This window comes from Homo sapiens, chromosome 9 (assembly GCF_000001405.40).
Source record: "Homo sapiens chromosome 9, GRCh38.p14 Primary Assembly".
In the NCBI taxonomy this organism is placed as follows: Eukaryota; Metazoa; Chordata; class Mammalia; order Primates; family Hominidae; genus Homo; species Homo sapiens.
This window is the reverse complement of record NC_000009.12, coordinates 27,186,663-27,199,605: the sequence shown is the minus strand read 5'-3', so window position 1 is coordinate 27,199,605 and position 12,943 is coordinate 27,186,663. Positions and strand designations below refer to the sequence as shown.

The 12,943-nt window shown below is 40.4% G+C and overlaps 1 protein-coding gene and 1 pseudogene across 5 annotated transcripts in view; both read right to left on the bottom strand.

Annotated features, from left to right (window-relative positions):
• Positions 1-12,943, bottom strand: part of TEK (TEK receptor tyrosine kinase) — a 120,950-nt gene that overhangs the window by 30,569 nt on the left and 77,438 nt on the right. For all 5 annotated transcript variants that reach the window (NM_000459.5, NM_001290077.2, NM_001290078.2 and 2 more), the window contains 3 exons: positions 8,916-9,077; positions 6,983-7,117; positions 2,007-2,291 (listed from right to left, as the gene is read on the bottom strand). In NM_000459.5, coding sequence (NP_000450.3) covers positions 2,007-2,291; positions 6,983-7,117; positions 8,916-9,077 — 582 coding nt within the window. The remainder of the gene's footprint in view (positions 1-2,006; positions 2,292-6,982; positions 7,118-8,915; positions 9,078-12,943) is intronic.
• Positions 1,205-1,319, bottom strand: RNA5SP280 (RNA, 5S ribosomal pseudogene 280; annotated as a pseudogene).

Below are 12,943 nucleotides of genomic sequence, written 5' to 3'. Positions count from 1 at the left end.
CAAGGAAATCAAAATTGAAATTAACAATGAGGCACCATATTTTGCTTTTGAGATACGCAAAGTAAAAAGGTGTGACACTATCGAGTGATATAGGGAAAGGATATAGACATAGAGATGGGTATAAGGAAAATGGCACTGTCATACACTCCTGAACATAGTACACACTGACTAACCACTTTAGAGGGAAATAGCCCATGAGTTCCACCACCGGACTTGTTCCTAGAAAAACTCTCACACCTGTCTATGCACATGGAGACATGCATAAGAATGGGCATTGCATTTTGTTCATGATAGTAAAAAATGAAAAAACCTACATCTCCCTCTAAAAGGGAGAGGATGAATGACAAGATACATTCATAAGATAGAATATTATACAGAAGTTAAAATTACATGCATCAAAGCTAAATAAACATGGATCGATAAAATTCATAATGTCCATTCAAAAAATGAAGAATGATATGTATGCATGTGTATACTTTCAGAGATATTAAAATTATAGAACATTGGGCTTGGCACAGTGGCTCATGCCTGTAATTCCAGCACTTTGGGAGGCGAAGGCGGGAGGATTGCTTGAGCCCAGGAGTTCCAGACCAGCCTGGGCAACATAGGGAGATCCCATCTCTACAAAAAAATTTTTAAAAAAAGTCAGGTGTGGTGGCGTGTGCCTGTGGTCCCAGCTACTCAGGAGGCTGAGGTGGGAGGATTGCTTGGGCCCAGGAAGCCAAGGCTGCAGAAGCCATAATGGCACCACTGCTCACCAGCCTGGGCAACAGAGCAAGACCTTGTCTCAAAAAATATATACATACAACATTAAATTAAAATATACTTAACAAACTCATAATTTTGGTTGTCTCTTGGGAGAGGGGAATAGAAATAGATAGGGATAACAGTTGCAGGAGATACTGATACACCTGTAGTGGGTTATTACATAAGTCAACAACAAATGCTGAAAGCAAATATGACAAAATGTTAACAGTTGTTAATTCTGGATGGGAGGAATGTGATTGTTCGTTGTGTTACTGTTAGCATGATTCTGCACCTTGGAAATTTCACAGAATTAAACATTATATATGAAGAATTCCTAAACACTGACAAAACAATTCAGACTTTCATAAGTCACTGATGCAATAAAAGAGTGGCCAAAGAAACACTGAGCCAGCTTCCACACCTGTTCCTGAGGAAGTGGAGAACCAGCTGCAAAGACAGCCTCAGACTCTGGGAGGTGGCAAGGGACCACATAATCTCCCATCCAGGCCTGACCCTGCTTAGCTTCCAGGATCAATGAGATCCAGTGTGTTCAGGGTGGTAAGGCCATAGACCACATGATCCTGACTTCAGTGGTAGTTGTGTGTGGCCAAGAAATAGTTTACCTTTCCAAGGGTTCCAAATGCACACAGTTCTAATTTCAGTGAATCAAAATAAAACTCTCTGCTTAGTTTAGTAATGAATAGACTTTCAATACTACAAAGAAACCCAAGAAATTCCCATTAATTTTAAATGACCAATCTGAAATTGAGAAGCCTGAAATGCAAAATACTTTGGAAAAAAAAAGTGATTTTATTACTCCTAGATAAATCTTTTAACTTTTAAAATTACCTGTTTTCAAGGGGTTTCAAGCAAAGTTATTTGGTTTTTATGGTTAGGTAAGACCCATCTGGAATTAACTGACATCTGTGTACATGTAGATATATGATAATTCTTCAAAACTACCCCATAAATGGTTCAACAAGCCCTAGAAAAACTTCTTGTTACTAATTTACTAAATAAACAACTGCACACCAAGGGAAGGTAAATTTTAGCACAGACCTGCCTGAATTATTGCAAATCCAAATATATGTTATATATTGCAAGTTATTAAAATGATTAGGTGGGGGGCACTAATTAGCCTTCTCTCACAACTAACTTTCTTTCATAATTTCCAATAGTCCTGCAGTGATGTTAGCTAAGTCTGCATGGCGGTAGCCCCTTATTGCTCAGATGAGGCTGGAGCAGCATGAATTACTTACTGTCACTAAGGGTCCAAGCAGTGAGATCTTCACTCCATTCCCCCTGGGCCTTGGTGTTGACTCTAGCTCGGACCACGTACTGCTCCCTGGGATGTAAGTTGTTAAGTAGCACCGAAGTCAAGTTGCCTGGAACTTTAATATTCTGCTGATCACTTTTTTGCACAGACCTTCTCTCCACTTCAACATAAAAGTCATCTTCCGAGCTTGGAAATATTGGTTGCCAGGTCAAATTTAGAGTGGTCTGACTTTTAGGCAGGAGATTTAGACCTCTTGGAGGAGGGAGTCCTAGGAGAATCCAGAAAAATCATTATTTTTATATATGGCTGATATAGTTTGGATTAGTGTCCCCACCCAAATCTCATACTGAAATGTAATCCCCAGTGTTGGAGGTGGGGCCTGGTGGGAGGTGATTGGTTGATGAGTGTGACTTCCCATGAATGGTTTAGTACCATCCCCCTTGGTGCTGTCCTCCTGATACCGAGTGAGTTCTGATGAAATCTGGTCATTTGAAAGTATATAACAGGCCCCAGTGTGTGATGTTCCCCTTCCTGTTTCCATATGTTCTCATTGTTCAATTGCCGGGGGAGGGGGGAGGGATAGCATTAGGAGATATACCTAAAGTTAAATGACGAGTTAATGGGTGCAGCACACCAACATGGCACGTGTATACATATGTAACTAACCTGCACGTTGTGCACATGTACCCTAAAACTTAAAGTATAATAAAAAATAAAAAATAAAATAAACAGGAGCTTTGTCAGAAAATAAAATGTTAAATAATTTCCATGGAAAAATAAATAAATTATGAAACAGTAAAAAAAAAAAAAAAAAAAAAAAGTGTATAGCACCGCCCCCCCTCACTCTTCTGCTCCTGCTTTCACCATGCAAAGTGCCTGCTCCCACTTTGCCTTCTGCCATGAGTAAAAGCTCCCTCAGGCCTCCCCAAAAGCAGATGCTTCCTATACGGCATGCAGAACCATGAGCCAATGGTTACTGTTTTTACTGTTTGGCTTGGTAAAAAGCCAAACCTCTTTTCTTCCAAATTACCCAGTGTCAGGTATTTCTTTATAGCAATGCAAGTACAGACTAATACAAGGGTGGAGTCAATGACAGCGCTAAAGGGCACCTTTTAAGAGTAACCTTGGCTTCTAGAATAAGATACCACCTCATAAGCTATCAAAGAAACACAAGCAAGTGGCCCATATGATACTTTTTTCCCTACCAAAATGATTCATTACATTATTTATAACAGCAAACAATTGGAAGAAACCTAAACACTCAAAATAGGAAACTGCTTTAATAAATTATGATATAGCCATTCAGTGGAAAAATAGATAACTAGGATAAGTATGAAAGCCCAATAAAGAGACTTCAAGTACATGTAGGCATGCTAAAAGTTATGTCTACAATGGTGAAGGATAGGAAGGAAACTGATAAAAATCAAAACAGTAGATTTGCCAAGGTTATGGGATTATGGGAGAGTATTTACCGTTTCTGTTACCATTTTGAGCAATACATTGTAAAGCAATTTAGGGGTTCCTTCCCCTTAGCAAGATTTTCAGAAATCATACAGCTGTGGTGGCAGGGCCAGGCCTATTCCTGCTCTGATCACATCAAGGTATCCGCTATGACTACGTGATGCCTGGCCATAATCACCCACAGGAGCCTGGGCTACCAAGACATCACTGAATAGAAACAATATGGGTTTTAAAATCAGAGAGACAGGAACATGCCACTTTACTTTTGCAACCTTGGGCAAATTCATAATCTCTCCAAGTTCACCTGTAAAATAAAATTAAAATATCCATCTTCCAGACTCAGGAGTAATAAGTGAGAAAATGGATGTGAAAATGCTTGGAAGGTGTTAGGGGCTCTATTAACACTGGTTTCCTCCCTCCCTTCCTTCTTTCGAGATGTCTTATGTCACTGGACAAAGGAGGAAATAGTGTGTTTTCAGTTAATAATAGTAAATTGATTTTTAAATTCCAGATATGAAGTCCTTCCAAAACGTAGGATAGAGATCCTCTAATTCATGCATTCTCAGTAGGGACACAATCACTCCTATGGGGCAAAAAAATTTGTTCTTAGTGTATGAGAAAATTTCAGATTACTACAATTGTTTACAGAGGACCATAATACAGAAACAGATATAGAGCATATCTGTGGTATTAAAATTTCACGGGAGGCAGGATCTACTAGGATAAACGTATCTGAAACAGCTCACTGGGGATGAGCAATACATTTTTTTTTAAAGGTTGAGAAACACTGCTCTTACTCTTGGTTCGAGGTGAGAGGAAGGGTCTGTTTCCATCTACTGGGAATTAAGTCCCACCAGCCTGGTTCTGACTACCCTCAGACTAGTGAGAACCAGCAGCTAGGCATGCATTTTCTTGGCATTATGCAAAAGGTCTGATGGCCCTTTCTCTGTAACCTTTGCAAATGGAGAGAGGTGATGCCATCTCCTCTTGTTAACCTCTGAAGTTTAACCTCCAAAATAGCCACCCAGAGTGGTTTAGGCAGGTTTGCAATGACAAAGGAGAATGGGGAGTTGATATTTTGGAGAATACATTTACACCTCCTAATCCTGTGCCTGGTACAGAAGAGTAACTCAATAAATAGTCATTTCCCCTTTTCCCGCCCTTTGGGAACATGATTACCCCATACGCCTCCCTGTCTGCCCCTTTCTGCACTATGTTCAGAAAGTGTTCTCTTCCTTCCCCTCCCGGACTCCCTGGCCTTCACCATCTCAATCAACACACATAAACAGTGCAACTGCCAGACGAAATGAAAAGCAAACAGCAGCAAAATTCAAATGATGGGAAAAGAAGAACCTTCAATAATCCCCTTCCCGCCTACCCCTGAGAACTACTTTGAAATATTCTGAGAGACCTCCTGGCTGCAACACATTCTGAGGGCTGAAGACAGTACAGTGTGGGGCTGTGAAGTGTTTTATGTTCTGTTCCATAAATACTTTCCATCTGAGTCAGTTTATGCTCTTCCCCTCTTGACTCACCAACAGTGACTTGAGAGAGAATTAACTACCATTTGCCTTTTAGCAGTAACATGATGACATATCAGGGATCCCTTGGGTCATGGTTGTAGAGGTCCCTTTTTCCTCTCTATATAGTTTCTGGGTTTATTTTTTATATTCACAACCAGGTGGGTCCCCAAGCAGCCATTTCTTACTTGTGTGTAATGCTTCTATAAGTCTCAGAGTAGCTTTTGAGTCTCATTTGGTTCTTTAAGGATGCTGCTAGTAACATAAAAACTAGGTGGGTGGTGTGAAGGAAGGATGTTTCTGTTAAGGGTGCACAATCTCTGCAGAAGAAAAGTGGATGTTCTTCCTGGTTTTTTCACTCAATCATAACATATCCTTCTACTTTTAGTAAATGGAGTAAAACACAGGCAAATATGTGAACTGGGATAATAAGCTGGTGCCTTTGGGATTCTAGGTAGAAATAATAATTGGAGAAACAAAAGGATATGGAGCCTGGACTGGGAGTGGTGACTCATCCCTGTAATCCTAACACTTTGAGAGGCCAAGGCTGGGGGACTGCTTGAGGCAGGAGTTTAAGACCAGCCTGGGCAACAAAGCAAGACCCCGTCTCTACAAAAAAAATTTTTTGAAGTAGCCAGATGTGGTGGTGTGCCTGTAGTCCCAGCTACTCAGGAAGCTGAGGTGGGAGGATGACTTGAGCCCAGGAGATAGAGGCTGTAATGAGTGTTGATCAAACCACTGCACTCTCCAGCTTGAGTGACAGAGCAAGATCCTGGCTCTAAAAGACAAAGATATGAAGCCCGAAGATTTAGTATGGTGATGCATCTTACTGTTATTAAGTACTCTGAGTCTCTACTTTTCAATCTGTAAAATAGGGAAGATGATAATTCTTACTTTCCTAGGTGATATAAATCAAATATATATGAAGTTGAAAGTATAAAGTACTGACCAAGAGAGAGTAACAGAATGGTTATACACAGTGAACAATTCAAAGAACCAGGAATGGAACCTTACAAAAGATCACTCCAGTATTTCAATGGAGGGTACCTGGGTAACAGAAAGCTGGAGGTCAGGTTAGCATCAAGGAGGCTTCACAGAGTTAATTAACGCAATAGAAGGCCAGTCAATACCAAACACCACTGAGAAGTCCAGAAGTAATTTTACACATGTTATCTAGAACGTGTGGACCCAGGACCAGCAGCATCACTTGGGAACCTACTAGAAATGCAAATTTTTGAACCCCGGCCCCATCCTCACCTCAAAACCATTGAATCCGAAACTCTGGGGACGAGGCCCAGAAACATCTTTTAACAAACTCTCTGAGTGATTCTGATGGACACTTAGGTTTGAGAACCACTGATTTAGAAAAGGGAGGTAAATATAAGAAATAGCTTAAGGAGATGAAAGTGGCTACCTATAGGAAGCAGGACTGGGAGGTGGAGGGTGGAGCAGGAGAATGCTGTTCTTTAGATAAAAGCTTCTTATTCTATTTGATGTCATGACTCTGACCATGAATTACTTTGAAAAATTGGAAATTATTTTTGAAAATAAATAAACTGGGACTTCTAAAATATGCCTGTGGCAAGAGCCTGGTCTGGGCCCTTAAGATGGAAACAGGAAGCCAGTGATAAAATGCAGGAGCTGAAGCTCAGCACAGTTGCTGCTGTGTAAATCCCAGCTCCTAGGGGAGGCCCTGCCTTCCTGAAGGCTCATCTGCTTCCTTCTCTGTCCCTACAGAGTGCTGCAGACCTCCTCCCCCAGGGAGACAGACCAGGAGTCCAACCCAAATAAAGGAACAGTTTGGCTTGAAGTTGCTAGCCTTCCTGTCACTTTCCCACCCATTCAAAAGCGAACTCCTGCCACCTCCATCCCCACCCACCCACTCACCCACCACCACCCTTCCTGGTCTTCCTTCCTCTTTCCCCTTCCTCCCCCTCCCACCCAGCTCATGAATAAATGCCTGTTGGCTTCCACTGACCGATAGAAGCTGTTGTGAAGCGTCTCACAGGTCCAGGATGCCCTTCCCCACCCTCTCCACGACGGACCAGTTGCACACAGAGTTCATATTCTGTCCGAGGTTCCAAATAGTTGAGTGTAACAATCTCATTTGTCACTGAGAAGAGAAAACGTCCAGGAAACTTAAGTTGGCATTCTCTTACATTCCTTAAGCCGGGGTTGTTGTTATTGCGATGTGAACTAATTTTAGGTTTTCAAAACTACGTCTTAGTGAAACAGAGAGGCAATTCCATCTTCAAGGCCTCATCCTTCCCAATATGAGGAAAATTAGGCTTTTGAAATGTTTCCAGGTTACAATGTACACATTAAAGTGTGTATTTCTGTGCCACTTACACATTTCTGCTCTGGTGCTTTTGTCTTTTCATTTGTAGAATAAAACCTCACAAATCTATATGGAATACCAGATTGGGGGAATACTCAATTAGAATAATTTAATTGCTACTGTTTTCAAGTATGTACACTGATTGCAATCAAGCTATCGAGAGAAAAAGATGCTTAGGAGGTTTGCTCAAAATGACCAGAAAACTGATTTGCAATGGTCATACTATTACAATGAAGCATTCTGAAGTCCTTGAAAATAGCACCCATAAACAAATGGTATCTGTCTCTTTTCTCCTTACCTATTTGCTTTAGTCAGCCTCTGTTTCTCCATGGATACTGCAAAGATAAATTTCTGCCTTATCATATGATAAATTCCTACTTGGTAAGAAAAAAAACTGGGATGTGTTTAACAGTTCTTAGAAGACCACTTTGTGGATGTCCACTTGTAGACAAAGGTGATGGATTATTACCACCATATGACAGCAAAAGACCTAGCCATTGATGTTGGAAACAGCAATTCAGCAAATCAGCCTGACATCCCTGGAATTCTGAATTTTGATAGAATCTACAATAGTATGTGAAGGACTCAGTAATAATACCATTTTATTCGGTCTACCCAGGTCAGCTAGTGTTATTCAGCCCAAAACCCTCCTCCTCTTCTCTTTTTTTTTTTCCATAGTTTTCTTAATTATCTCCATATAGTGAATAGAGGGTCATTTTAAGGAAATCATAGGCATAGTAAGACAAAGGTATGGGCGGAGGAGGACATGCTGCCTACAAGCATGTTAGTGGCAGGTCTTTTTACAGAATAGTCCAATTGAAGCAGCATGGTCACTGATAATGCTCTTTGCTTTTTAAAATTGTGATTTTACATTATCATACAACAAATATAATTGTAATTTGTGTTTCAAAATAAATTCAACTGTTTTCATGAACTTTTGGCATTTTGTCACATTTTGTTCAATTATTTTTTTCTTTCAGGAAGTTAGGGGAGGGGTCTGTAGCTCCCTTTGCCTGTCCTTGTCCTCCCCCGAGCCCATTCCAGTCTGCCACAGCCCAAACTTTGCAGGTTCAAATTCCTTCAAAAATCTCTCTGTGTTAAGAGTCTGCAGGACAGGGCAAGACATGAAATGAGAAAAGGAATAAACAACTCAATACAGCAGCAACAATCACCCCCAGGATTTAGGCAGATTAAGCCTCTCTGCCCTTCCAGCAGGCTCTGGACTTTCCTGCTACCATATTCATGGCATAAACAAGTGCCTTTCCCCATGACCAGCCAAGATAGAATAACTAAAAACAGGACTGGAGATCCAAAAAGAAATATTGATATAGATAGTAACTCATGGTGTGAGCTGGTTCTGTGTTCTAGAGCGCACAGTGACTTCAGAAAGTTAGCCCCAGAGCTCAGGGGCCCCCTGCACTCTCTCTTGAATACTCTGAAACAGAATCCTCTGCAACAGCCACCACCTTGAGGTAGAGGATTGAGGCAGGGAGAAGGGAATTTCTAGATTTGGAGAAAAATAATTCTCCTGGTGCCACATCCCCAGCTGGCATCTATCCTGTCCAAAGCTTACCTTGAATATGTTGCCAAGCCTCATAGTGATTAACGGGTTTGTATAGAAGCTTCTTGGATTTGATTGGTCCATCCCCAAAGTAAGGCTCAGAGCTGATGTTGATGACAGCAAAGTTATGTCCAGTGTCAATCACGTTTGGGGCATTCAGGGGCTTTGGAAGAACTAAATACAATTTCAGAAGGCAGATTAGTCCTTCGGCTTTGAGGTTTTGTGATTGTTCTTAGGTAGAGGTAGAAGATATGTTTTACATGTCCAACAAAGTCCTCTTAAAGTTTTCTGCTCAGACTCAGTGAGATCACCTGCTCTCTAAGCTCTCTGCTTTGCTTTTGCTTCCCCAACCCATTATCCTCAAAGTGCTTCCTTAAAATAAATGTGCCCCTTTGCTCAAGACCCTTCAATGGATTCTCATCACATGTAGGATAAAACCAAAAATTCATATCGTGACCAGCCAGGCCTTGAGTGATTAAGCCCCTGCCCACTCTCCAGCCTCCTCTTCCCCTCACCTAGTACCCTCCAGTCCCACTGACCTTTCACTTCATCCAACTAACAAAGCACGAACCTCCTTTCTTTAGATTGATTGTGGATGTCTCTCTTCTGCAAGGAATGCTCCACCTCCCATTATTCTCCCAGTTAATTCTTAGCTCTGATGTGAATATTTCACAGGTGGCTATCATAGAAACTGAATTAAGGTATTGTATACTTTCACAGAACCTCTACTTTTCCTTCATGGTGATTTTTAGGGGTTATTACTCTTTGTAGTATGATTATTTGATTATTTGATATTGGTCTTTCTTCTAGATCATAATTCATTCTCTCTCTATATATATATATCTCTCTCTTTCAGCCAAACAACTCAAATTTATTATAGTTCTAGAAGTCAGAAGTCAGACATGCATCTCACTGTGCTAAAATTAAGGCATTAGCAAGGCTGTGTTCCTTTCTGGAGGCTTAGGAGACCATCTGTTTCCTTGTTCTTTCTAGCTTCTAGAGACTGCCTGCATTCCTTGGCTCAAGGCTCCTTCCTATCCCTTCAAAGTCTACAACATCAGGCCTCTCTGATCCTTCTCTGACCACCACATCTCTGACTATTGTCAGGAAAGTTTCTCTACTTTGAATGACTCAAGGGATTGGAATGGGTCCACTCAGATAATCTAGAACAATCTCCCCATCTCAAAGACCACATCTTCTCAATGGGGATGACAGCGCCCCAGAAACAATGAAAATTGGTTCTTGGAGGATGCAAAAATTTTAGATATTACAATGGGTTGCAGCCCGCCAAAGAGCCATAGTACATAAAGAGATATAAAGTACATCTGTGATAATAAAATCTTATGGTGATGAGGGAGAGTTCTGGAATACAATTTCTAAAAGAGCTCCTTAGTGGGATGATAATAAAAAGGTTGTGAAACACCACACTACACTCTAAATTCCATTAGGGCAAAGACTGTGTAGTTTGTTCACCAGCACCGACTAGGTGCTGAGTTATTGTTTGTGAAGTGAATTTCCAATGAGCTCTATAGTTCCCTTGGCCCAGCCTTCTTAGAAATGCATAACTCGTTTTGTTTTTCCTCCCCAAGAGTGTGTATTATACAATGCAGAACCTTTCAGATTTCAGAGGACATTGCAATGTTCAGTAATTTTTCCTTTTCTTTCTGTCTCAATGCTTTGGCTCACCTTCCTTAGACATAACCTTCAAGTCTTTGCTCAAATATCTTCTCAGGAAGGCTTGATTACCCTATTTAAAATTACAGTCACCACTCCAGCCCTGCCCCAGCATTCTCTACCCCCATTTCTGCTTTAATTTTCTCCAAGACACTCAGCATTTTCGTGAACTGTACATTCTACTTATTTATTTGCTCACTGTTTATCTCCCTGTGGGAATGTAAGCTCCATGGTGAGTCTTTTTCCCCCTGTATTATTCACTGCTCTATTCCCAGTGCCTAGAACAGGGGCTGAAACATAATAGGCCTAAAGTAAATTCTATTGACTAAGTGACGACTTAGGAAGTTGTCCAAGGTCAGGATAATAAAGCCAGTAAGAAGCAGTATCCCCTAACTGGAGGCAGATCATGCCAATATTAAGTTAGATAAGTCTGAGTACACATTTCACTTAGGCTAGAAAGGAGGGCAGTGCTGTAAGTAAATTTGTTCAAGTAATGCTTTCCTTGTATGATAAAATAAGGCCACCCCTTTCTTTAAACCAGCAGATGCACATTTTATTACAGCCATTAATGTCAGTCTGTGATACTTCTACAAGGGTTTAAAAATTGCTACAAAGGCTTCCTCTTAGTAATCTACTATTTTATTTTTTGCCTTTTAATCATTTTTACTGAGATGGAACATACATATTGTAAAGCGTGAATATCTTAAGTGTATTTAGCTCAAGGGACTTTACCTATGTGTACACCCATGTAACCACCACTCAGATTAAGATAGAAAATATTCCCAGCCCTCCAGAAGGCACCTGTGTGCCCTTTTCCAGTCAATATCCTCTACCCAGAGGTAGCCTCTATTCTGACTTCTGTGACTGAAGATTAGTATTGCCTGTTCTTTAGCTTTATATAAATGGAATCATAAAGCATGTACTTTCTTTCACTGGTTATCATGTTTGCAAGATTCATCCATACTGTTGCGGAAATTAATTCTTTTTTATTACTGTTTAACATTCCTCTGCATGATTTTATGGGCTAAATTGTATTCCCCCCAAATCACACATTAAAGTCTTAACCCCTAGTACCTCAGGATGTAACCGTATCTGGACATAAGGCCTTTAAAGAAGTAATTAATTTAGAATAAGTTTATTAGGGTTTGCCATAATCCAATATGACTGGTGTCCTTGTAAGAGGATTAAATTAGGACACAAGTACAAAGGGAAGACCCTGTACCTGTGTCCTAATTTAATCTCCCTGTGAAGATACAGGGAGACAGTGGCCATCTACAAGCCAAGGAGAGAAGCCGCAGAAGAAATAAACTCTGCTGATGCCTTCATCTTGGACTTGTAGCCTCCAGAATTATGAGAAAATAAATTCCTGTTGCTTAAGCCACTCAGCCTGTAGTATTTTGTTATGGCACCCTAGCAAACTAATACATATGAATATACTACAATTTGTGATTAGTGTATCCTTTCTAATGTTGATGGACATTTGAGTTAATTTCAGTTTGGGGCTACTATGAATACAACTGCTCTGAACATTCTTGAAGATGTCTTTTTTGAACATAATACAGCCATTCTTTTGAGCATATACCTAGGGGTGGAACTGCTGGTTCCCAGGCTAAGTAAATGTTTAGGTTTAGTACAAGTTGCCAGTTTTCCAAAGTGACTGTATCAATCTGTACACTGGTGTTAAAGCCTAGTATCTGTTTTTGTAAATACTATAATAAAAGATGCTGATTAAATTGATTAAATTCCCTAATGGCTATTTACATTTTATGGCTGCCAGTCAATGTGACAGCAAAGAGACAGCAGTGACTTAGGACTGGAGAAGCTTCTACACATTGATGTTGTGTGCCGTGTCTTTCACTACAAACTAAAAACTAGACCCAGTGACTCTTCTGTGTATTCACCACATGGTTTGTTTTGGACGTATGTCCATGGGTAGCAAACATTCCCAGAAGCTTAAAAGTAGGGTAATTTTTCTTGTCTGCATATCATTTCCTTTCTTCCAAGAACATTCAAGATGCAAGAAATTATTTTAATCACGTGAATGTTCTACCAAATAAAACAGATTTGGGCTCTTTCCTATAACCAAAAGTAATAATAAGAAGGAGGATTCTGAGGTGGTTCATATGGATTCTCAGGGCACAGAATCCAAATCTATGGGGTTGCATTTACGCTACTGTTGTTATTGGCCTTTAAAAAACAGATTATGTTCTGAGTATTTACAGCATTTCATTTATAGAAGTTACCTCTGAGATCTCCCAAGAGATTACTAATGAAGTAACGAAAGGGGGCCAAATACAAATCAACTTTGGTCACCTCACAGTCTCCTCCTCTGTAACACAAGAGACTCAGAAAGCAAAATGGTCCAG